At 41.9% G+C, this 26,888-nt stretch overlaps 1 protein-coding gene across 7 annotated transcripts in view, besides 2 other annotated features; it reads left to right on the top strand.

Annotated features, from left to right (window-relative positions):
• Window positions 1-26,888, top strand: part of NRG2 (neuregulin 2) — a 196,519-nt gene that overhangs the window by 29,901 nt on the left and 139,730 nt on the right. The gene's annotated exons all lie outside the window — the stretch shown is intronic.
• Window positions 1,554-1,623: an enhancer, noted in NCBI's record as "active region_23257". NCBI's record gives its function as "activates an Ori minimal core promoter by ATAC-STARR-seq in GM12878 lymphoblastoid cells {active_cell/tissue: GM12878}" and the evidence as "EXISTENCE:reporter gene assay evidence [ECO:0000049][PMID:35858748]".
• Window positions 7,741-7,810: an enhancer, noted in NCBI's record as "active region_23256". NCBI's record gives its function as "activates an Ori minimal core promoter by ATAC-STARR-seq in GM12878 lymphoblastoid cells {active_cell/tissue: GM12878}" and the evidence as "EXISTENCE:reporter gene assay evidence [ECO:0000049][PMID:35858748]".

Raw genomic sequence — 26,888 nt, 5'->3', positions numbered from 1 at the left:
TTTTTTAATATAGAAGTAACGCATGCTTATATGCTGGTAGGAATGAGCCAGTTGAGAGGAGGCAATTAATGGTGTGGGAAGGTGAGAGGAGATTGTCTAAATGCTTTCTTAGAGTAGAAGAGTGGGATCTGGCACACAAGTAGAGGGATTGGCTCTGGGATCATGGATAATTCATCTACAGTAACAGGAGAGAGGCAGAGTTATGTATATGGATGCCGACAGATGCATATATGTTGTGGTGGGAGTCAGTGGAAATTCTCTTCTGATCGTTTCAATTTTCTCAGTAAAGTAGGAAACAAGGTCAACAGCTGAGAGTATGAGGGAGGAGATGTTCGAAGTTTGAGGAGAAAGAGGGTGTGAAGTAGTCATCTAGAAGAGTAGGTGGGTGAATAGAATAAACTAGGGAGGTACAGTATGATTGTCAGGCACATTAAGGGCTCATCTTTGGCTCATGGATATGAATTTAAAGTGAGACCAGTCTAGGTGATTGTGTGCATTTCTCCAGCTACATTCAATTGCATGGGCACAGGTACTGGGTTGGATTTGACTAGAATTGTGGTTTTGCCAAATGAAGAAATAGAATTATTATAAAAATTGATCATGAATGAATGGAAGAAAGAAAGAGAAGGGAAGAAAGAACATCATATTCACTGTGAGAATCAGTAAAAAGGTGGTAGTATCAATGAATTTAAATCCTGTTAAGATAGAAGAATTGCTGGAGTCCAAACAGTAGAGGGTGTAAGCTGGAAGGTAGGAGTTGGTAGGTGGAGAGTAGGATGCATGCATTTGATATCATGGAAGGGTTGCATTTCTTGGTAATAACAAGGTGATGGGTAGAGATGACTCTCAAGTATGAATGAGCATGAGAGTCAGTGGGTAGAATGAGGTGGAGCACAAGACGACTAGAGAAGAAGAGTTCAAGGAACTGAGAAGCCAGGGTATTGGAATGACCACTTATGAGTACAATGAAATTTCTGAAAGTTAAGACAGGATTACTTTGTGTATATAGTGAATGACAGATGTGTGCCCTGCCCTCAAAGAGCTTACAATCCAGCCCAGAAGATAAGCAAGTCAGAAGCATTTGGCATGATGGCATAATTGCTGTGATTGGAAAAGTACAAGGTAAGGGGGAGCACAAGTGAAGGATACCTAAACCCCGCCTTGGGATTGAAGAATCTTTCTGGAGGAAAGAGATTTGAGTTGGGATTTTGAAGAACAAGTCAAAGTTAATGAGGTAAAAAGACAGGGAAAAGTACTTTAGAAAGGGGGAACGGTATGTGCAAAGGGATAAAGATGAGACTGGGGCACACTGAAGTAACTGAAAGGAGATTCATTGCCCCAGGTGCCATGGGCAGTGGTGCAAGAGAAGTTTGGGAAGGTGAGCTGAATTGGATCATCATGTAGGGCCTTGGGGGCTGTATTAAGTAGTATGAATTCATCCCATGTGCAATGGGAGAGGTATAGATGGACTAGGGGAGAAGAAAGTATTAAGAAATGTTTAATAGATTAATGATTTTTGAGTTGGGTCCTCTTATTAGTTATTTGTGGCTGCACAACAAATTACCCCAAAATGTAGTGGGTTAAAACAACAAACATTTATTTTCTCATAGTTTCTATCAGTCAGAAATCCAGATGTGAGTCCTCCAGTCTAGGGACTTTCACAAGGCTACAAATAAGGTGTCAGCCAGGGATGCAGTCATCTCAGGCTCAACAGTGGTCTTTCAGACTCATTCATGTGGCCATTGGCAGGCTTCAGGTCCTCGATGGCTGTTGGCCAGAGGCATCAGTTCCCTGCCACATGGATCTCACTGTAGGGCAGTTCATGATATGGCAGCTGACTTCTCTCAGAGCAGGTGAGGGAGAGAGAGAGAGAAAGGGTGGGAGGAGGGAGGTCACAGTCTATTTGTAGTAACCCAACCACAGAACTGACCTCCCATCACTTTTGTCATATTCTATTTATTCTAAGTGAGTCAGTAGGTCCAGCCCACACTCAGGGAAAGTATTGCACAGGGGCAGGAGTACTAGGCGATAAGATCACTGGAGTCCATCTCAGAGGCTGCCTACCATAATCCCGAAGGAAGATTAAGGAGTTATCAGGCAGGGATGAGGAACCACTTAGAGAAAGTTGACACAGAGTTTTAAGGAAGAGGCTATAACATAGGAAGTAACCTGAGGGCACCAAATGTACTATGTGTCCAAAGTGGCAAAAGATGCTATTGCAAGATATAAGATAGGCTGTGGCCAGATTGTTAAAAGTCTTGTAGGCTATGCTGAGAAGTTTAGTCTTTACTCTTTGTAACAAGATAAGATCACCTGAAGGCTTATATAAGAAAGCGACCTGTTTAGTTTTTGGTCTCTGACAGCTGTATGCAGGACAAACAGTAGTGGGAGGGAGCCAGGAGAACCCTCTATAGCTGGAATCTAAAAACTGCCAGTGGAGAGATGACCAGGGCCTGCACCAAGGCAAGGCAGTAGGCCTTATGAAGGGGGGCCAGATTCAAAGAATGTTTAAACAACTGTTAACAAGTCTTAGAGAGCCTGTGGGGGAGCACGGATGTGTCCGATGCTTTCCAAGTTCTTCACCTGGATCACTGAGGGTTCTGGCTATAACTAAAGTACCCAATACAGCATGAGGAAGACACTGTCCCTTGTGGATGGGAGGGGGACTCAGTCCTGGCATATGTCACCTTCACCTGTGACCTTAAGGTACACATTCCTAGTTCTATTCACGGACAATAAAGAAGTATTTAGTTCAAAGCATATTTTCTGTCCTGTTTTTTTTTTTAAGACTTTATTTTTCTAACAGAAATTTTAGGTTCACAGCAAAATTGAGATGAAGCACAGAGATATCCCATATACTCCCTGCCCCCCACATGTACAGTGTCCCAATTATCAATTGTTGTTGTTAAAATTGATAAGCCTACAATTGATAAGTTACAATTACTGTTGTTACAATTGATAAGCCTACATTGACACGCCATTATCACCCAAAGTCTATACATTAGGCTTCACTCTCAGTGTTGTACATTCTATGGGTTTGGACAAGTGTATGAGAACATGTATTCATTATACTATCATACAGAATTTTATTTATTTTTTTTTTGAGACAGTCTCGCTGTGTCACTCAGGCTGGAGTGCAGTGGTACAATCTCAGCTCACTGCAACCTCCACCTCCTGGGTTCAAGCAATTCTCATGTCTCAGTTTCCCAAGTAGCTGGGATTACAGGCACCTGCCACCATGCCCATCTAATTTTTGTATTTTTAGTAGAGACAGGGTTTCACCACGTTGGCCAGACTGGTCTTGAACTGCTCACCTCAAATGATCCACCCACCTTGGCCTCTCAGAGTGTTGGGATTACAGGTGTGAGCCACTGTGCCCGGCCTCATACAGAAATTTTTGACTGCTCTAAAAATCCTCTATGCTCCACCCATTCACTCCTCTCTCCCCTCAGCCCCTGGCAACCACTGATCTTTTTATAGTTTTCATAGTTTGGCCTTTTCCAGAATGTCATATAGTTGGAATGATGTAATATGTAAGCTTTTCCGATTGGCGTCCTTCATTTAGTAATATGCATTTAAGTTTCCTCTACGTCTTTTCATGGGTTGATAGCTCATTTATTTTTAGTGCTGAATAATATTCCATTATCTGGATGTACCACAGTTTATTTATTCATTTACCTACTGAAGGACATCTTGGTTACTTCCAAATTTTGGCAGGTATGAATAAACACTGACAACACCAAAAGCTGGCAAGGATGTGGGACATCCTCTCATTCATTGTTGGTGGGAATGCAAAATGGTACAGCCACTTTGGAAGAGCGTTTGGCAGTTTCTTACAAAATTAAACTACTCTTACCGTAAGATCGAGCAATTTCATTCTTTGGTATTTTCCCAAAGGAGTTGGAAACTTATGTTTACATAAAAACCTGCAGAAGGATGTTTATAGAAGCTTTATTCATAATTGTCAAAGCATTTTTTAAAGTGCCTCCTGTATGTAGAATCCCATTTAGAATATTATGGGTAACATAGAGTATAAAGGCCCACTCTTGAAAAGCTGTCTGCTTAGCTCTGGGTAAGAAGAGATCTGGTTCTTAGATTTAGGACACTGACTCTGAGGCCTCTTTCAACTGGAGGCAAGACAGTGAGAGATTCCATGTGTCCAGCTCTGCAGCAGCAGCAGAGGCAGCCACAATCTGAGATGCTGCTGATTTCTTCTGTGGGGCTTTGAAAAGCAATGAATCTTCACAGTATGCTGAGCTTCTACTTTATTGATGATGCAGCTCAGGGAAGTTTGTGGTGCCATTTTGCCAGGATCTTTTAGGGAAAGCATAGGATCAGATTGGAGGATGAGTGCTAAATGACTCCTAAGTGCCAGAAATAATGGTTACTGAATATGCACTAGTGCTATGTCATTGTTTTGCTGTGTAATTGTTTTGTCTCTCACTCAGTCCTTGCAACAACCCTGGGAGGTTGGTTCTATTGCTATTATCCCATTTTTCATATGGGGAACTGAGACACAGAGAGGTTAAGTAACTTGCTCAAGACCACACAGTAAGTAGCAGAGACATGCCTGTCTGATTTCTGAGCCTATATCCTAACCATAGTACTATACCTCCTTGTTTCATGCATTTATTTTTTTGAACTCACCAGTTGAGTCTCTGGTCATATCATTTGTCAGTTATTTCTCCCCGACTGAGAGGGATAAATAAGCATTCTCTTATATTCTAGGTTTTAAGTTGGCATTTAATGCTGACCCGTCTGGAATTCACTGTAGTGTATATACATTTCATTTGGTTTTAGTTTTTCTCTTTTGGTCACAAGCCAAAGTTAGAATCTCCCAAGCTAGCTCAGGTAAAGATGAGCTCACTGTAGGGAAACTTGGTTTAGTAAGGAGTAAGGGATCTCTAAGCAATCCCAGAAGTGGGCCTATAATAGGACTAGACCTTAGAGAGAGTAGGTCAGACCCAAATGACCATTACCTAGTTCAGTTTCTGGCACATAATAGGTGCTCAATAAATATTTGTTGAATAAATGCAGCAAACAGTTGTGTGGTCAGCTATCCAGTAAAAGGGGCCAGCGATAGCCCTAGTGGAACAAGAGCCCTTTTGTTTGGCTGAAATAAGGTTTACTAGGCTACTCGAAGGATGTGGTAGTAGCAACACTAGAGCTTCACATCTGCTGTGGAATAGATCTTTGATTTCCCCATGCATCTTCTGCATAGACTCTGCACTTACCCTCAGTGGCTGCAGCAAAATGGGACATGTAGATGTCAGGCTGCCCATGGGAACACATTCCTGTGTGGTGCTCCCCACATCTGTTCTCATGTGAAATGACACTAGAGAGTGACAGCTTCCTACTATAGGACTGGCGGCTGTGGGTCTCACAGTATCAGACTTCCTGGTGACTGAGATGCTGTAAGGAATAGAGAGAATGGAAGATCCGGGTTCAGGTATCGGCTTCGCCATAGCTGTGTGAGTTGGGCCTGATCCTTGGCTTCCCTGGGACTTGGTTTCCTGATCTGTTAAGGGACAAGGTTTGGGCCAAGGTTCTTTCCAGCACTTGAGTCCTATGAGTTGCTAAATTGGGCCCAAGGTCACAGGGAAAATGAAATGCTGGCATAATATCTGTCTTCCCTTGAAACCCCTGGATAAGTCCAAGCAAGTGACCCTCTTTGATGGAAGAGAGTTTCCAAAAGCAGAAAGAATCTTTCTCAGGGGTTGGGTGGAGCTCTTCCTTTTTCTCCTACCCTAAAGATACTTGGAAGTGAAGTCTAAAATTGTCACCCAGGACTAGTAGGGTGCTGGAGGTGAAGATGCAGAAGGAGAATGTACAGACAGGCCTCCGGCTCCTGAGTCCAGCTGGTGTTGCCTGTCGGTACACACTCCCCACCTGCCACCTCCAGCTCCTGGCTGATCTCCTCTTTCTGAGCTCTTGATCCTAAGCTGTGTTCTGCTTGTGTCTGTTATGGCTCTGGAGTGAAATGAGCAATTTCTTTTTCTCCAATTGGAAGCTGAAGGCTGCTTAATATAAGTAATAAAGTCCTCAATGCTTTATCCCCTGGGGTCTGTTAACTGCCTGTTTGAAGCAGAAGGCACTACAGCTCGCACAGGATGTGAAGCAGATTGGAGGTTCCTGTATCTTTGAGCCACCTGAGCTTTTTCAAAGTCCAGTTTCCTTCTCCTAGAGCAGAGTTACTCAACAATGGCACTATTAGCATTTTGAGCCAAATGATTCTTTGTTATGGGGTACTATCTTGGGCATTGTAGGATATTTAGTAGCATCCTTGGCCCCTCCACTAGATGCCAGTAGCATCCACCTTCCCCCGTTACCACAAACAAAAATGTCTCTAAACATGGAAATCGTCCCTGTGGGGCAAAATCACCCCAGTTAAGGACCACTATTCTAGAGTTACCACAGCACACATGTAGGCAGCTTGTGTGATGAACTAGGCTTTTGAGAACCATGGTCTTTATTTTTGATTTCACTTCTGACTCACGGAAGACCCTAGGGCAGGTTAATGAGCCTCTCTATAATGGGGACTATGAATTTTCCTTGTTTGAAAAGTAACATGTTTGTTGGAGAAAATATAGAAGAAACAGAGAAGTATAAAAGAAGAAAAATTTAAAGGATCTGTTGGCATCTCAACCACCTAGAGATAATAAGTTTTAAGGTGTATTTTCTTCTTGCATCTTTTCCTGGCATGTCTCTCTTCTCTTCCACCATACTCACACACCAAATCAGGATCATATCTTAATACACGGCAAACCGTTCTTAGAAAATATGATTTTTAATGGATGCATATTAGACAATCTTATGAATGCTCCATATTTATTTAATAACTTCCAGTTGTAGAACATTATTATAACCAATTTTCAGACTACTAGAGATAATACTGAATGACAACTTTGTACATTAATCTTTGTGTGCATCTCTGATATCCTTAGGTTAATTCCTCGAAGTGGAATTTTGGGGTGAAAGGATAAGAACATTTTTAAGGCTTTTGATACATGTTATCAAGTTGCCCTCCAGAATGGTTACGCCATTTGACATCAGCAGTGTAGGAGAGAGCCAAATTGGGGCAATCTGTACTTAAAAGCTTTCTTTGATAGCTCAGGCTTCTACCGAAGCTGAACAATCTCCATTTTGTTTATAATACTGCACAAGAGCCCTACAAAGCACAGTGGTGGTCTGCTTTCATGTTACAGCTGGGCAGAACATGTACTGATCACAGTGAGTGACAGACAGCACATTTTAGTATTATTGACAGAAATGAGACCCAAGACTGGAAGACCCTCAGCAGGTCAAGCCATGAGTTAATGCTTTCTTTTGCCCCAGGAATGGGGCAACATGTGCTAATGGCCCCTTTCTAACTGGTCTTCTGACAGAAGCACTGATTTTCAGAGCCTTTGACCTAGACGTCTTTGGTATCTAGTTTTCTAGAGTAGGAATCCAGTGGCCTTTGTAGAAGGCTTAGAGGATCACACGTGAGGTGGAGTTAGCTAGAAGGAGCTATTGCTAGTGCCAGTGCATCCCTCCCTGCACCCTCCCCTGAACCCTACCCCCTCCTATGCATTTCCCCAAGCTCCAGGATGCATTCTAGGCACTCTTGGCAAAAGAGCCATGCTGAAAGTGTAATCTCTCATCTTGACATGAGCTTAGACATGAGCTTGAGATGCCTGAGGAGCTGGGGCTAGACTGGGCAACAAAGTGGACATGTGGTAGCTGAGGTATTGGCTCCATGCAGTTCTGGACATGATTTTGACGGCCCTGCAGAAAATTTGACGACCACGAGCACTCTTGCCATGGCTGTCTCTGTCCAAGAATATATTCACTGTGGGGATTGGAAAGTATACAGAGGCTGGCAGTGATGCAGCTAGAGAGACAGGTTGTGAGACCAAAAGCTTGCTTCCTTCTTGTGGAGGCAGACACTGTCAGACAGAAGCATAGTGCTGTGAGTAGAAGCATGACCAGTCTATGTTCATAGTGCTGGGGAGGAGGATCAGTGTTGGTTTTGCCACGCTGCTGAGGCGTGAGAGTATGGGGAAGCACCAGCTTCTAGTCCGTGACCACCTTTCTCTGGCAGTGGAACTGAGAGTAGAGGTCTCTGGTGAACTGATAGGTGTCATTAATGGCAATGTCAGACCTATTATCAGGTCCTTTGATGTTCACAGGAGGAGTTCTTATATATGGGAAGACAGATACTTCAAGCTTTGGGGCTTTCCCTTTCAAATCCTCGCTTTTGGCCCCAGGGAGTTCAAGACCTAATAGACATTTTTTAGGGGAGGTGGGGGAATCCACCCAATTCTACATCCCCTGAGAAGATGTCAGGTTCATTTTGTTTTACAGGTAAAACCAAGGGAAAGATGTTAAGTTACAGAATGGTGTTTAATCAATGGTAGATTTAAAGACTTAATCTTTCTTTTTAAACATTTTTTGGAATTAATTTTAGATTCACAGAAAAGTTGCAAAAAATAGTACAGAGAGTTTCTGTACAAACCTCACCCAATTTCCCTAATATTATCACCTTACATAACCATAGTACAATGATCAAAGCTAGGAATTAACACTGGTACAATACTATTAACTAAACTATAAGCCTTATTTGAATTTCACAAGTTTTCTATTTGTGTCCTTTCTGTTCCATGAGCCTACCTAGGATCCCACGTTGCATATAGTCATTATTCCTCCTTTGTCTCTTCTAATTTGTAATAATTTTTCAGTCTTTCCCTGCCTTCCATGATCTTGACACTTTTGAAGAGTGTTGATTAGTTATTTTGGAGAATGTACTGTACCTCAGCTTGAGTTTGTCTAATATTTTCTCATTATTGAAGTGAACTTATGCCTTTTTGGTGAGATTAATTCAGAAATGATGCTGTGTCTTTCCGAGGGCATCTTACTGGTGACAATAACCTTGTTGATCTGCTGAATTTCTCCACTGTAAAGTTACTATCTTACCCTTTATAGTTTAAAAAATATCTTGGAGGACATACTTTGAGACTGTGCAGATCCTTTTTCTCTTCCAACTTTGGCCACTAATTTTAGCACCCATTGGTAAGTCTTATCTGCAAAAGTTGTTTGTGGTGTTTGCCTGACGGTGGTTTTCCTCTGCCCAAGTACCTTCTACATTGATTAATTGTAGAATACTGTATTGGTAGAGTAGAGAATAATCTTAATAAGACATATCATTCCTTGATGAAGTCTTTACTCAAGAGCAATAGCTCTTTCTAAAATATGATCTGTTTATTTCATACTTGTGTGTATTAGTTTCCTACTGGCACTCACAGAAAATTTGCAAAAATGATACAGAAGGTTCCTGTACACTCCTCACCCAACTTTCCCTAATATTAACATGTTACAGAACCACAGTATAATTATCAAACATAGAAAATTACTTAGTTTATTTAAAGGCCATTAAAACAACTAGGCAAGAGATAATGGTGGCTTGGGCAAGTAGCTAATTGGGGAGGTGATGTGAAGTTGATTCTGGATGTATGTTGAAGGTAGGACTTACAGGATTTGTGAAAGAATTGGATGTGGAGTAAGAGAAGAAAGGAGGAATCCAGGATGGTTTCAAGATTTTTGACTTGAACAACTGGTCTTGCTGTTTTTTGAATTAGGAGAAGACTACAGATGGCATCCAGGGAATTTTTTACTCTAGTGACAAACTCCCCTTTTTAACCACAGTGCTGAAAAAATTACCACAACAAATGGCTACAATTTAGTGGCTTAAAGCAACCCAGATTCATTATCTTACAATTCTGGAGGTCAGAAATCCAAAATCAGTCTTAGTGGGCTCAAATCAAGGTGCTGGCAAGACCGTGTTCCTTCTGGAGGCTCTATGGGAGAATTTGTTTTCTTGCCTTTTCCAACTCTTAGAGGTCACCTGCATTCCTTGGCTCCATTTTCCACCTTCAAAACCAGCAGTGTAGTGTCTTCCAACCCCTGTCTCTCTGACTCTAATCCTCCTACCTCCCTCTTACAAGGAAACTTGTGATTACAGTGGGCCACTCACATAATCCAGTATCCTTAATTTAATCACATCTGCAATTTCCTTTTTGCCCTGTTAGGTAAAATACTTACAGGTTCCAGAAATTAGGATATGAACATATTGGGGGAGGGGGGCACTGTTCTGACTACCACACTCTTCATCTCTTTCTATCTCTGTATAATTACATCTTGTTTTATTTGCATTTCTTTAGTCAGGACTCCCACTGATGAAGTAGCAGCTTGTCTTGAGCATGGTTTTTCTGATCAGTGATCTATATTGGTCAATTTATGAAGAAGCACATTTAGTACCTCTTGTGTTGCCAGGCACTGTAGCTGAAAAGGAGAATTTGTCAGTTGATGGGAAAAAAAGTTGCCTGGATGTCTCTTGTAATCTTCCCCAGTTCAAAAAATGTTAAGACCAGTTATTCAGGTCAAAAATCTTGGAGCCATCTGGGATTCTCCTCTTCTTTCACTCCACATCTAATCCTTTTACAAATCCTGTACATTCTACCTTCAGAATACATCCAGAATCCAACTAGTTCTCATCACCTCCCCAATTATCCACTTGGTCCAAGACACCATTATCTCTTGCCTAGTTGTTTTAATAGCCTTCAAATTGGTCTCTCTGCTTCCACCCTTGCCCCTCTTCGGTCTATTCTGAACACAGCAGTCTGACTGACAAATAAAAAAAACTCGTGTGATTCTCCTGCTGTAAACCTCAGAGAGCTTTCTTTCTCACCCAGAGTTGATGACTGAAGGCTCACTTGCATGTTTTGGTCTGTGACCTCTCTGACTCCGGCTCCTACGTTCTCCCTTCAGTTCTCCTGCTTTCTCCGACTTGGCCCTTACTGTTATTTTCTGAACCTGTCAGACATGTTCCTGTCTCCAGCTTTTGGTATTTATTGTTCACTCTACTTGGAATATGCTTAACCTAAAAATCCGTGTGGCTCATTTCCTTACTTCTTTCACCCCTTCAAATTCTGCCTTTTCAAGGAGGATTTCCCAGCTATCCTATCTAAAATTGCAACCCCATAACCCTCCCAACCCTACTCTGTTTTATTTTTCACCTCAGCTCTTATCATTATCTGACATCATATTTTACCAACTTTTCTTATAAATGATGTTTACCTCTTTCCACTAGAATTGGAGACTTCAAGAGGACAAAAAATTTTGTCTTTTTTTCCCCTGTCACAGCTCTAATATTTATTTATTTACTTTATTATTTTTTGAGACAGGTTCTTTCTCTGCCACCCAGGCTGGAGTACAGTGGCATGATCATGGCTCACTGTAGCCTTGACCTCCCAGGCTCAAGTGACCCTCCTGCCTCAGCCTCCTGAGTAGCTGGGACCACAGGCTCATGCCACCATGCCCGGCGAATATTTTTATTTTTTGTAGAGACAGGGGTCTCCCTATGTTGCCCAGGCTGGTCTCAAACTCGTGGGCTCAAGGAACCCTCCCACCTTAGCCTTCCAAAGTGCTGGGATTACAGGCATGAGCCACTATGCCTGGCCTCCTTAATTATTTTAATTTTTAAAATTTACTTATTTTAGAGACAGGGTCTTACTCTGTCACCAAGGTTGGAGTGCAGTGGTGGGATCATAGCTCATTGCAGCCTCAAACTCTTGGGCTTACACGATCCTACAGCCTCAGCCTCCCAAGTAGCTAGGACTGCAGGTACATGGCACTATGTCTGGCCATTTTTTTTTTTTTTTGGTGGAGATAGGGTCTTGCTATTTTTCCCAGGCTGGTCTTGAACTCCTGGCCTCAAGCGATCCTCCCACCTTGCCCTGCCAAAGTGTTAGGATTACACACATGAGCCACCAAGCCCAGCTCACATCTCTAGTATTTAGAATAGTGCTTGGCAAATAGCAGGTACTCAATAATTATTTGTAGAATGAATTATATCTGCTTTTATAATTGGGCTATATATTTATCAATTGCTTCCTGAGGCATATAAGGTACAATGCTATATGTTTTGGAGGATAAAAAATAAATTAAGACATGATCTGTATTTTCAAATTGCTTATAATTTGGTTAGGGTAATGAGATAACCATGTGTGAAAAAACTAATGGTATCACTACCATAAGCTGTAGGTATGTATTAAATACGCTTAAGTATGGGGCACCGTGGTAGGTACTAGGGACAAACAAATATGCCATACACGATTTCTTCTTTCAAGCTTTTTTAGGCTAGTTATGAGGACACAAAGGAAAACAAGCTCTACCCGACTGGATGAGCCAAGTGCTAATAAATGGTATGGATACCGATGGGAGATCAGAGGGAGAGGAGTCCAGTAGCAGGGCCTGCAGCAGCAGGCTTCGTGTCACAGGTCTCTTCTGAACTGGGTCTGGAAAATCCAGGGAACTCTGAGAGGTCTGATGTAGCTAGAACATGGGGCGTGAGGGTGGAGAAAAGGCAGAAGACGAGGCTATCAAAGTAGGTCACAGAGAGATCGAGAAGGACGTTGAGTCCTATGTTACAGTTTGATGTCATTCTGTAGGTGGTAAGAAGCCACTGACGTTTTTGAAGAGGGGATTGAAACCATCACATCTGACGTTGACAGAGATGGATTAGAATGGATTGAAGCTAGGGAGAGCAGTTAGGAAGTTCCTATAGGAATCTATGGCCGCTCCTCTGCCCACTGCCTTCAGCTTCCAGAGCAATAGTGCAGACCAAGCCAATCCTGGCTGCAGCAGGAGGAGGTGTGGTGCCTGGGGAACATTTTCGAGAGCTCCGAAGAGAGCCGACAGAGTGCAGGAAGGAGGCATGCAATGCCTGAGAGCCAAGTTCAGCTCAGCTCTATTTTGGGTGACAACATTTACAATGTTCCTTCACCCAGAATCATTCCGCCTGCCTGCCCGCCTTCGGTGTTTCCAGCTGATGGGTTCTCACGCCTACTTAACAACTGGCTTGGTTCAGGGGCTCCCTGGCTCACCGACTGCTGCCCTTCAGTCCTCTCCCTCTTTGGCAGGATGCCTAAGTCCTTGGAGTGGCTAGAGTGCTAAGCCTGGTCCTCCATGCCTCTGCGGCAGGGGAAGCTGGAAGGGTAGTGCAAAAGCTCGAGGAAGGGAGGGGTGGTACTGCTAAATGCCAGAGTTCAAGCACAGAGGTGTGTAGGCAATTGACTCGCAGTTCTGTGCTTCACTTCCTCTGAAAGACCAAATTATAAGGGAGAGAATGCCTGATAATAATATTTTGTGTTTCCACATATCTTGTCTGAGAACCTCCAGACTCAAGATCTAGATTCTGCTGTTGTCCCAGATTACCTCATTAACTGAATCTGTGGGCGTTTATAGGTCATTTTTAGGGCTCTGTGGATATCATAGTGTAGAAGAGACAAATGTTGTTTTTTTATAATTAAAAACCTAAGAGTATTACACATTCATTGTAGAAAATGCATGAGCGTATAAAGAAAAGAATAAAAATAACCCATCATCCCATCACTTAGCGAGAGCTCTGGCTAATAGTTTGATGTTTCTTCCTGCTTGTTTTCCCCTGGGCATGTGTCTGTTTGTGTGTGGCACATATGCATGTCAGATATCCCCAGGTTCCCTCTGGGTGGGTATAGATTGGGGCACCCACCCTCAGCACTGAAATGTTCTCACCCAGAGTATATTTCCCATGTAGTCTGGATAATTTCCCTCCTGTCATTCTCCTTGGATTTCTCTCCTGTGATTCTCCTCTTTCAAAAGTGAAAGGATGCTCCTTGTAAAGACTGTTCTTCCAGGAGGGACCGATGTTTGGAGGAGCTCAGCATGGGACACTGCACAGTGGGGAAAATGAGACTGAAGCTGTACTATAATCATTCTTCTTGAACAATGATTCCAAAGTGCTACCAGGTACGAACAGAGAACGTCTGGTCCCTTCTCTCATTCCATGAGGCTTGCTGGATAGGGCAATGCAGGCCAGGTTTGCCACTGAGTTGAATAACTGGACCTGGTGGATTATTGAGGAGCCTGGTGCATTACAGAGAAAACTTTTCAGAGCAACTTGGCATCCCTTGAAAAAATATGCTAAGTCACCATAGAACCTCCAACCAGTTTGTAAACACCAGATTCTCTACTGATATTTTGGGTCAGATTCACCAGAAAGCAGAATCTAATACAAGAATTGGGTGCAGATAGTTTGAGAGGTAATTGCAAGAAGCAGGAATGAGGAAACGGCATAAGGGGAATGAGGCAGGAATAGAGGATAAACTGTTATTAGGGTGTATTATTAAGGTTCCTACTGTGTGCAGTGGGGACTTAATTCCACCAGAACTTCAGGAGAACGACACAGAATGCCTCATGGAGTTGTCTGCTTGAAGGATGAGGAACTCCAGCTAGCTTCTGTCCCCCACTGGCTGAGCCTCGTCCTTAGGACAGTGAAGTCCCTAGAGGGTTGTGTGTTTGAGGTGTGACTTTCAAGCAGGAAGTGGATCTGAACTCGCATAGGACAGCTGTGCTGAAAGAGGTGGTGGGGCAAGGGGCTTGTGATGTAGGATTCAGAGTCTTCTGCTATAATCTAGGAAATTTAGAAGGCTTCTTGGTTTCACTGATTTGAGCAAGTTTTTTCTCTTGTCTTAACTCCTCTTCCTATCTTCCCCTATTCCTATAATTCTCTAGTCTTACCCATATTTCAAGTAACAGTATGGTTCTTTGCCCTTGGATGGTAGATAGTGTTTGTTTGTTTGTTTTTAGCCAATTACAACATTCTGACTCATAATTCTAAGCTCATAATTTTTTCAGACTCGTCAGGAGCAAGCATTGGGCCTCTTGAGCATTGAGATTCTCTACTTTTGGTGACTAGAGTTCTGTACTTCTTTCCACATCACTAGTAGAGACCAAACTTGGAGAATTTGAGGGAATGAGAACAGTAGAAGGCGTGAGGCAGGCTATCTTCACCTGCAGTCCCATGGCTAGATTGGGTCCCAGTTTGGAACTGGAGCAGATCTTGTGTGGCTTTGGTCTGGGGTTGATTGCCAGTAGATGGGAACACAGGCTTCCTGAGTATACCTGAGATGGTCACGTGGCCGGCCCTCCAGGACTTTCTTGGCCTTGGGTTGGTCTGGATATACAAATGTTGAACATAATAGAAGCACTTTTCCAGCCCTCTGGGGTTTTGTTCAGAACAATATTCTGACCTGCTCTTCTGTGGGGAGTATTGGCATTGGTCTTTCATCTTTCCAGAGTAGAAACTAGAGGCCCAAAGAAGTTAAGTGGTTTACCCAAGGTGGTGTCATTTTTCACTGGTAACAGAGAGAGCTAGAACCAAGGCCTCCTGACTTCCAATCTAGAGTCTTTGACTTTTGACTCCACACCTCCACTCCCACCCCTTGCCACCAATGTAGAAACAGGGTATTTTTGTTCCTTGTTCTATCTCTCACTTTGGACTCCTAGCCAGATTATAACTCTGTGAAGGGAGGACCCAGGCCCCACGTACCCCACTCCTCTGAGCCCAGGTCTAGCCAGAGCAAGTGTTTAACAAAAGCTTCCTAATTTACCTAGAGGGGCAATCCTCAGGGCAGCTGGCTCCTCCCCAGCGGGAAACCCGGCCCATGGCCCTCTCTTAGTTCCAGGCTCCATGGAGAGGGGAACCATGTCCATCTGTGATAGACCTCAGCTTGTAGGCAGCAGGCTTGGAAGTTCTACCTTCTTGATAAGCAGGATTCACATGCTGGCTGTTCTCAGGAATTTGCTTCATTCTAGGGCCCATTGAGGGCTGAGTGAGGGTGTCCTCACTGACTCCTGAGCCCTTGGCCCTGGGGGCTGGTTTCTATCTATTTCTGCTATTTGCCAGATGATGCCCCATACAGCAGAGTCAGCTCTGCCATGTCTGTCCTCAGTCTAGGATTAGACAGTGGTGTCTTCCCTTAACCTTTGGGGGCAGACCTGTATTGTTGACCTTTGCTCTTCCCTCTTTCACTAAAGAGCATGTAAAGTACTGTTTGAAGATAAAGGCAGCTTACTAGTTAACCCCTTAGAGCCAGCACTGGCAGTCCATGTATCAAATGGTCTTCGTAAGATTATTCCAGTTATTTCTGCTGCTCTTTGAGTTATAGTCAGAATTTTGATTGTTTAGGGCCAAAGAGATGAGTCTGGGTCAAAGGCAGAGTGCTGAGCTTTAGTAGTGCCTCTGGGTGGGTAAAGGAAGGGTGGGTTTTTTTCTAGTTCCTCATTCCCAGTGACTACCCATAAATCTTAATTAAAATTGGAGGAGTTCTCCTCCATGTTCCCCTCAAGCTTTTCTTTTATTTTTATTTCCATTTTTTATTTATTTATTTTGTGGTGACACAGGATCTCATTCTGGTTGCCCAGGCTGGTGTGCAGTGGTGCGATCTTGGCTCACCACGGCCTCGACCTCCCAAGCTCAGGTGATCCCCCCACCTCAGCCTCCTGAGTAGCTGGGACTACAGGCATGTGCCACCATGCCCTGCTAATTTTTTGTATTTTTAGTAGAGACAGGGTTTCACTGTGTTGCCCAGGCTGGTCTTGAACTCCTGGACTCAAGCAATCTGCCCCCCACCCCCATCGGCTTCCCAGAGTGCTGGGATTATAGGCGTGAGCCACCACGTCTGGCCACCCCCTCAATCTTTTAAATGAAATAATTTAACAAATATTTGAGAGCTAATTACATGTGCCATCATTTTGGGACTAAAAGAGGTAATTGATGGGATCTCTGCCTTCAAGGGTCTTACGGTATACTTGGAGAGACAAGCGGCATATGTGGCAAAGACCACACTAGACAGGTGTGAAGGGCAGGCCTGCTAAGCAGGGCATCAGAGTACTTGGGAGAGAGAGAGAAAGCACTTTGGATGGATCTGGTTAAGAGAAGCCTTCTTGGAAGAAATGAGATTTCAGTCAGGTCCCTGAAGATACGTGTTTTCTTTACAACAGGTTTATGGGTATCTCTCTTTGTGGTAAGACTTTATTGCACATTCAACAATGACAACAATTTAAGGATCCTGGGGACAAGGTTATTTTGTTCCTAGATGTTCATTATAGTATTGTTCATAATAGCCAAAGATTGGAAACAACTTAAGTATCCAGTGATGAGGCATCGGTTAACTAGACTGTGGTCTCCCGTATTCCCCATGTTGTGGAATATTTTGTAGCCATCATACATCATTTTTGCAGAAGTTTATTTATTGACATCAAAGAATATTCACAATAGGTTGTTCATTGAAAAAAATCAGGTTCCAAAGTACTATGTACAGTATGAGTCCATTTATATTTGTTAACAGTAACAAACAAAACATGGCTTCTTAAAATCTTTTTGCTTACTCATTTTCTGATTTTTGCTACATGTGCATTAACTTGTAAATAAAATAACCTTCTGTGCTTATTCATTTGAGGATGAAATAAATAAATAACTTTCTGATGTTTTCCCTTCTTTTCTTTCTTTTTTCTTTTTTTAGAGACAGGGTCTTTCTCTGTCACCCAGGCTGGAGTGCAGTTGTGTGATCATAGCTCATGGTAGCCTCAAATTTCTCGGCTCAAGCCATTCTCCTATTTCAGCCTCCTGAGTACCTAGGACTACAAGCACATGCCACCATGCATGGCTAATTTTTATTTTTATTTTGTAGAAATAGAGTCTTGCTCTATTGCCCAGGTTGGTCTTGAACTCTTGGCCTCTGTAGATCCTCCCTCCTCAGCCTCCCGAAGCACTGGGCTTACAGGTGTAAGCCACCATGCCCAGCCCTCCTTTTTTTCAATAAGAGAGTTGGAATGCCCCATAATACCTGTAGGTGGACAGGTCCAGTGGAGTCACATGTCCCTTATTTTGTGGGGAATATTGCCCACAGCTCACTCTGGTCCTCAGTTTCTGAAGACAAGTTGGCTTGCTTGAGACAGGAGGTACTGGGGAGCCTGCCCGCTCCTGGTCTAAAGAGCAATGCCTGGGAGGAAGCCTCTAAGTGCTTCTTCCTTCTAGTTGTGGGAACCTGCATATTTCTCAGGCATGCAGCATCTGGGGCTGAACTGCCCGTCTGCGTCTGTGGCGGCTCTATTTTTTTTTAAATCCACTTTCTTCATACTTTGCATTTTAGTCAGGAAATCACTGCTGCCCACTGTCTATCTAATTAGAGTGCCAGGAAGAAAAAGGTGCTTTTGCCATTCTGAGCCTCTCTGGGAAAAGGTTATGAGACAAGAGTGATAGAATTCATCTTCTTGCGTTAGTGATGGGGGGCAGGGTCTCTGTTCCCTGAAAAGCTTATTCAGATGACCTATTTGGTCTAGACTCTGTCTGTCTCAGCAATAGCTGTCATCTGAATGTCACTTTAGAAGGTTTGGGTGCTTCCTTTTCCTTCTCTTTCAGCAGTACTATATTACAATTCGAATGCTAATTAGTATGTTTTAAAAGTACCCCTTTTATCACACATTTCCCAAATCTAAAACCTTTTATCTCTCCTCATTGCCTCTAGGCTGAAGTTCAGACTCCTCAGCCTGGCCTCCAAGGCCTTTCACATTTTGACCCAACCTCCCTTCACAACCTCCTTCCATCTCCTCATCTTCTTAAAACCCTTGTAGTTCATCAGAGCCAATCCATCCTTTCATTGGCCCCAAATACATTTACAGGCTGGCTTCTGCATACCCCTCTCTGAATCACCCTCCTTCCTTTTGTGGAACCCAATTCTACTCTTCTTTCCTAGGCCAGCTCAGTCCTTCCTCTTGAAGTCTACCCAGACCTCTTGAGTGCACAGTGATTTCTCTTGAGCTCAACTCTTTTAGCACTATCTTCTATACAAGTCTATACCACTTCATTTGGCATTAAAAAAAGTGATAGTGAAGAACACAACACAAAATTTGCCATCTTAACTATTTCTAAGTATACAATTCAGTAGTATTATGTGTTTATATTGTTGTGTAACAGATCTTCAGAACTTTTTTATCTTGTAAAACTGAAACTCTATACCCGTTAAACAACAACTCCCTATTTCACTTTAGTTGGCATTTTATCCAGAACCATGCTGTGATATCACATATGCTGAACTGTTTAATTCCACTAGCCTTCACTAAGCACCAGTGTTCCAGGTAAGCCACTGGTAGATTCTAGAGGAATACAAAGCTGAATAAGACACAGCTACCAAATGTGAAGAGTTTGCAATTGTTCTCAAATAAGAGTTTGCTCTTGTATTCATGTGTCTCATGTCCCTAAATAGATGAAATGAGAACAAACTTCTTATGAGCCACAACAATTTCTTTTTTTTGGAACAAAGCAGAATAAAGTGACTAAATAAATGCAGGTATCGTTCTTATGACACCCAGGATAGAAATGGGCATATACTTACTATGTGTTGTTTGATAATTACACATGCTAATGTAAATGAGTTCCTGGGCTATTTGGGGAGTCTGTGTTCTCTCAAATAAATCATACATTTTTAAAAAAGAAAGAAATTGTTCTTTCATTATAATAAGATTACTTTTTTATATAGTAAACACAATATGTGCCTGTCAAAGAAGTAAAAAGACAGAAAAGACAGACAAGCAAAATAACATAAATACCAGTAATAGTGATGACTGCTGTGAACCTTTGGCTTGCGTCCTTTCATATATTTGACTATATGGATTCAGACACACACACATTTTGTGTATTTTTTAACAAAAATAAAATCATATCACTGATACATACTCCTTTATCAGCGTAACATAGTTTGAATATCTTTGCCTGTCCATAAATAATTTCCTGTAATATAATTTTGATATAACAAATCTTTATTGAGGACCTATGCTGTCCCAGGAACTAATTTAGGGATTACAAATAAAGCAATGAACAAGACTTGCATGAAGCTTACACTATGGGCTGGAGCAAGATGAAAATCAAACAAATAAGTGGACAGGATAATTCCAGATACTGATAAGGGTTATTAAAACAATGATGTGAGACTATTTTAGATTGGATGGTCCATAAAGGTCTTTTGAGGAAGGAAATTTTGAGTTGAGGCTTTAACGATACTAGCGAGCTCCCATGTAAAGATTAGGAAAAAGCATTCCAGGAAGAGAGAATAGCTAATGGCCAAAGCTTAAGAATGAACTTGGCATGTTTGAGAAATCATAAGAAAGCCACTGTGGCTAAAACGCAGTGAGGAAGAGGGAAATTGGGTATTAAATCAGAGAGGTAGATGTAGATGAGAATTTTTGTGGGGCTCTTGTGGGCCTCATAGCCCATGGTCAAAATTTTGGATTTTATCCTAATGTCAATGAGAAGCCATTAGAGGGAAATGATATGATCTGATTTGTTTGAGGAGGACTGTTCTCCCTAAAGGTAATTTACATTATTAACAAAAGAGAGAACCTCCCCCTCCCCACCACACACACACCACACACAAATGCAATCATCACATTATATTCAAAGAAACCTTGGATAAAAATCAACACACAACAGAGGAAAACACCACACAACAAATAATCTGGTGTCTTTACCAAATGGATTGCAAGAAGAAAAAAAAAAAGATGGAGGAACAACCTATATAGATCGAAAGAGACCCAAAAGACATACTAAAAATTAGGCAAAACCAAACCATGGTGTTTAAGATTCATGGCTGGGTGAGCGAACTATGAGAAAACAGTAAGGAGGTGATTACCAAAAAGTCAACAGAGCAGTTACTCTTGGGCAGAAGGAAGGAGGGGCTCATAGCTGGGAAGGGACACACGTGAGGCTTTTGGGATGGTTGATTTGTCTCCTTTCATGGGTAGTGGTACAAAGGTGTTTGGCTTAGAATAATTAAGTTCTATTTTTAGGCTGTTTTCTTTATTTTTGTTATTTTAGCTATGAAAAAGGTTTTTTCTAATCGACAATTATTCATGATAAATGAAATGAAGGGGAACTTCTAACCAACTATAAAAACACTAGAGCAAACATCTTTCTACATAAGGACGTGTTAGTGTTAGAAGCAGTCACTTTAAAACAAGGAATGAAACAAAGGTCCCCCTATCATCAGTGCAAAAAGACAAGAAAAAGAAATGAGAGACAAAAGAATGAGAAGGGAGGAAATTAAATGGTCATTTTGGCATTATTTGTCATTATTTGCATAAAAAACTCAAAACAATACATAGATAAACTATTAGCAGTAATAGGAGAATTTAGTCAGTTAGCTTGATATAAGATGAATATGTAAAAGTAATTTACATTCTATATACCAACAGCAAACTAAAACACATAATTAAAGAGCAGACGCATTTAAAATAGTACCAGAGAAAATAAAATACTTAAAAATAAATCTAACAAACGTTACATGCCTTCTACTTTAAAAATGTGCAATTTCATTAAGAGATATTAAGGGAGTACTTAATAAATTAAGGGAGATAACACTTTCATAGATAGGATAATTTAATATCATAAAGATGACAATTCTCCAATTCTACCCTATTTGACCTACAGCGTTTTTTATGTTACCTGGTAAGGATTTAAAATACTGAAAAAAGAAAAGTAGGGAGAGAAGATTTGCCTCACCAAATATCAGGACTTATTATGAACTTATAGTAATTGAGACAATGTGGTTTTGGCACAAGGAAAAACAAACTGACCAATAAAATATATTAGAAAGCTCAGAAACTGCCTCACATAGATATGGAACTTCTGTAAATGATAGAAGTAGAATGTCAAATCAGTAGGGAAATAAAGAATGATATAGTACTTGGAACTGGAAAAAAATTCATATGCAAAAAAGCGAAACTGGAACCCTGCTCATACCCTATACAAAAAGTCAACTCCAGATGGTTTAAGAATGGAAATGTAGGTCAGCCCAGTGGCTCACGCCTGTAATCCCAGCACTTTGGGAGGCTGAGGTGGGCAGATCACCAGAGGTCAGGAGTTTGAGACTAGCCTGGCCAAAATGGTGAAACCTCTTCTCTACTAAAAAATACAAAAATCAGCCAGGCTGGGTGGTGCACACTCAGTGAGCTGAGATGGTGCCACTGCACTCCAGCCTGGGCGACCGAGTGAAACTTTGTCTCAGATAATAGTTATATTAATAATAATAATAATATGAAATGTAAAAAACACCCCATAACTTAAAAATTCTTAGTAGAAAATATAGGTGATTGTCTTTCATAAATTGAGTAGGGAAATATTTTTAAACAAGACACAAAAATATTGACTGCAAAAGAAAAACGGATACATTTGACCATATTAATATTGAGAATTTTGTTTTTTTTTGAGATGGAGTCTTGTTCTGTCGCCCAGGCTGGAGTGCAGTGGTGCGATCTTGGCTCACTGAAACCTCTGCCTCCGGGATTCAAGCGATTCTCTGCCTCAGCCTCCTGAGTAGCTGGGATTACAGGCACCCCCCCACACCATGCCAGGTTAATTTTTGTATTTCTAGTAGAGATGGGGTTTCACCATCTTGGCCAGGTTGGTCTTGAACTCCTGACCTCGTGATCCACCTGCCTTGGCCTCTCAAAGTGCTGGGATTACAGGCATGAGCCACCGCGCCCTGCTGAGAATTATTATATACCAAAAGACCGCTTAAAGAAAGTGAAAAGACAATTTACAGACTGGAAAAAGGTCTTTGCAACACACAAAACCAGCAAAGGATTAGTGTTAAGGATACGCAAAAAACAACTCTTACAAATTAATAAGAAAAGCACAAACAACCCAGTTTTTAAAAAATGGGCAAATAACAAGCATTTCATAGAATAGGAAACACTTAAGATCAATAAAAACATGGAGAGATGTTTAACATCATTAGTGATCAGGGAGATGCAAATTAAGAATACAATTCAATAACTTTTAGCACCCATTTGCTTGGCAAACTTTAACAGTTTGATAATGCCAGTGTTGGAAAAAGAAGTTAGAATCATAGGATCTCTTCAAAATTGCTAGTGGGTGCTGGGCACCATGGCTCAAGCCTGTAATCCCAGCACTTTGGGAGGCCAAGTCAGGTGGATCACTTGAGCCCAGGAGTTTGAGACCACCCTGGGCAACATGGCGAAACCCAATCTCTACTAAAAATACAAAAATTAGCTTGATGTAGTGGTGTGCACCTATAGTCCCAGCTACTTGGGAGGCTGAGGTGGGAGAATCACCTGAGCCCAGGAGGTGGAGGTTGTGGTAGTAAGCCAAGATCATGCCACTGCCCTCCAGCCTGGATGATAAGAGCAAAACTCCATCTCAAAATAAAATAAAATAAAATAAAATAAAATAAAATAAAATAAAATATTGCTAGTGGGAATGTAAACTGGTGAACAGTTTGGCAAACAATTAAAGTTTGACATTTACATACCACAAAATGCAGAAATTACATGCCTAGATATATATCCAACAGAAATTCTTGCACATACACAATAAGAGACATGGATCACAATGTTCATAACAGCATTCATAATAATAAAATAATAATAATAAGGCCAGGCACAGTGGCTCACGCCTGTAATCCCAGCACTTTGGGAGGCCGAGGTGGGCGGATCACAAGGTCAGGAGATCAAGACCATCCTGGCTAACATGGTGAAACCCCGTCTCTACTAAAAATACAAAAAATTAGCTGGGCGTGGTGGTGGGCACCTGTAGTCCCAGCTACTCGGGAGGCTGAGGCAGGAGAATGGCATGAACCCAGGAGGCGGAGCTTGCAGTGAGCCGAGATCACGCCACTGCAGTCCGGCCTGGGCAAAAGGCAAGACTCTGTCTCAAAAAAAAATAAAAAAATAAAATAAAATAAATAATAATAATAATAATAAAAACCTAGCAAAAAATCTTCAATGCCCATCAACAAGAGACTGAATAAACTAAATCCATAACTACAGTGGAATATTACACAGCTGTTTGAATGAATGAACTGTGGTGACATGCAACAACATGCGTGAATCTTAACAAATACCACTAAGTGCAAAAATTATTGCGTGCCACGGGATATTTTTTATTAAATTAAAAACTTTAAAAATATGTGTATTTAGGAACTCTTATAGATGCAATAACACTATATAAAAAGGAAAGCAAGGGAGTGAGGATTCAGGTTGATGGCTGCCTGGCATGGGAGGTGTTAGGACATGGCATGGGTAGGGGCCAAATGTGGTAGGTTTATGGGTGCTTTTAATACTTTAAACAAATGGTTAGCTAGCTAGCCAGGCAGCAAAGTAGACAGCTCTGACTGCTATGTGAAGAATGGATCAAAGGAGTAGAAGCTGGAGCAGGATGACCAGTTAGGAAGATGTTTAGTATCCAGATGAAGGAGGGTGAGGCATTGTTCTCCAGTGGTGGCCATTGAGATGGAGAGTAATGAACAGAATCAGAATCTATTCCGGAGATAATGGAGAACTTGCTCTGATGACTTAGATGTGGGAGGCAAGGAATATTCTATTGTACAAATCTTCCATAATTTAACAGTCTGCTCTTATGGTACATCTAAGTTGTTTACAATATTTTTTGCTCCAGTAAAGGTCTAAAATGAACATCCTTGTACCTTAATCTTCAAACAAATTCAATTAATGTCTTTCTTTTTTATGGTGTGAGACCGGGGCCAATTTTATTATATTTAAGACTGTTTGTTTTAGAGCAGTGTTAGGCTCACAGTCAAATTGAAAGGAAGGTACAGAGATTTCCCATATGGCCTCTGCCCTCATACATGTTCAGGCTCCCAATTACAATATCCCCCACGAGAGTGGTACATACATTACAACAGATAAACCTACATTGACACATCATTATCACCCAAAGTCTATACCTTACATTAGGGTTCACTCTTGGTGGTGTACATTCTATGGGTTTGGACATGTGTATAAGGACATACATTCGCTATAGTATCATATAGTATTTTCACTGCCCTGAAAATCCTCTGTGCTCCATCTATTCATCCTTCCCTTGCCCCAACCTCTGGCAACTACTGATCCTTTTACTCTCTCCATAGTTTTGCCTTTTCCAGAATGTGATACAGTTGGAATCATATAATACGTAACCTTTTCAATTGGCTTCTTTCCTTTAGCAATATGGATTTAAGGTTCCTCCAGATCTTTTCATGGCTTGATAGCTTTTTTCTTTTTAGCACTGAATATTTCATTTACTGGTTTACCACAGTTTATTCATTCCTCTAATGAAGGCCAACTCGGTTGCTTTCAAGTTTTGGCAATTATAGAAGATGATATGAACATCTGTGTGCATGTTTTTGTATGGACGTAAGTTTTCAACTCCTTTGGGTAAATACCAGAGAGCTCAATTGCTGGATTATATGGTAAGAGTATGTTTAGTTTTGTAAGAAACTGTCAAACTATCTTCCAAAGTGGCTGTGCCCTTTTGCATTCCCACCAGCAATGAACCAGAATTCCTGTTGCTCCACATCCTCACCAGCATTTGGTGTTGTCATGTTCTGGACTTTGGCCATTCTAATAGATATGTATCTTGAATTAGTTTCTGAAAATCAACCTGCAGAGGCTGGGCGTGGTGGCTCACGCCTGTAATCCCAGCACTTTGGGAGGCCGAGGCAGGCGGATCACAAGGTCAGGAGATCAAGACCATCCTGTCTAACACGGTGAAACCCCATCTCTACTGAAAATACAAAAAATTAGCCAGGCATGGCGGTGTGCGCCTATAGTCCCAGCTACTCGGGAGGCTGAGGCAGGAGGATGGCGTGAACCCGGGAGGTGGAGCTTGCAGTGAGCCGAGATCGCACTACTGCACTCCAGCCTGGGCAACAGAGTGAGACTCTCGTCTCAAAAAAAAAAAAAAAAAAACAACCTGCAGAAATGAAATTCTTATATCAAAGGATATGTGCATTTAATAAGGCTTTTGATACATATTACCAAGTTAGCTTCCTGAAATGAAAGATGGCACCACTTTAGCTCCCACTGGTATGAGGCAACATCCACCTGTCCTTTTCTACATTCAAAGCTCTGTATTCAGGGACAGTCTCATTGGCAGTGGAAGATAGGTAGATCTGTCTAGTGAATTTCTCCTGGACAGATGTGTGGTTACTCAGCAGTCTCTGGCTGGGATCGTCCCAGTTAGAGCATTTACTTCCCTGCTTCCTGCAGTGGGCATCCTTAGAGCACTGGACCCCTGCCTTGGGTCCTTTCCTGGAGCATGAGTCAGGATGTGAGGTGGCATAATATCCTTTTTTTTTTTTTTTTTTTTTTTTTGAGACAGAGTCTTGCTCTGTCACCCAGGCTGGAGCGCAGTGGCGCGATCTCAGCTCACTGCAACTTCCGCCTCCCGGGTTCAAGAGATTCTCCTGCCTCATCAGGGACTACAGGCGCTCACCGCCACGCTCGGCTAATTTTTTTTTTTTTTGTATTTTAGTAGAGATGGGCTTTCATTGTGTTGCCCAGGCTGGCCTTGAACTCCTGAGCTCAGGCAATCTGCCCGCCTCGGCCTCCCAAAGTGCTAGGATTACGGGCGTGAGCCACCGTGCCTAGCCCATAATATTCTTTTTCCTAGGAAAGGCTCCTTAGCATATGGATCAAAGAGATCTCTTCCCTTTTTTCCTTACCAGAGTCTTCCACTCAGACTCTGGCTGCCTCCAACCCCTAAAGAGCCTTTGGGGATTTCTAACAAACCTGGGATTTTTTTCTGAGTCAATTTGGAAAGGTTAAGCAAGCATATAAAAGAATTAATTAATTACCGAAGTTTATGTCCCCTCAGAGCCTCTAAAGCTGTGCTGTCCAATACAGTAGCCACTAGCCACAGGAAGCAATTTAAATTGGAATTTAAATTAGTCAAAATAAATAAGATGGAAAAATTCCATTCTCCAGTTCCACTAATCACATTTCAAGTGCTCAAGAGCCACATGTGCTAGTGGCTACCATATTGGACAACCCAGATATGGAACATTTCCATCATACAGAATGTTTTACAGAACATCACTGCAGAGGTTGGTTTACTCCAGAAATATTCCCAGGGGCCCTTTTAGGTGTGCAGTTGAGATGGTCAGTAAGGGTGGGTAGGAGTTATTGTTACCAATTAATATGACTTGCCGGATTTCTCCCTGCTCATCTAA

The sequence above is a fragment of the Homo sapiens genome, chromosome 5, assembly GCF_000001405.40.
Source record: "Homo sapiens chromosome 5, GRCh38.p14 Primary Assembly".
NCBI classification, from domain to species: Eukaryota; Metazoa; Chordata; class Mammalia; order Primates; family Hominidae; genus Homo; species Homo sapiens.
Note: the sequence above shows the minus strand (reverse complement) of the source record. Positions and strands in the feature narration are given on the sequence as shown.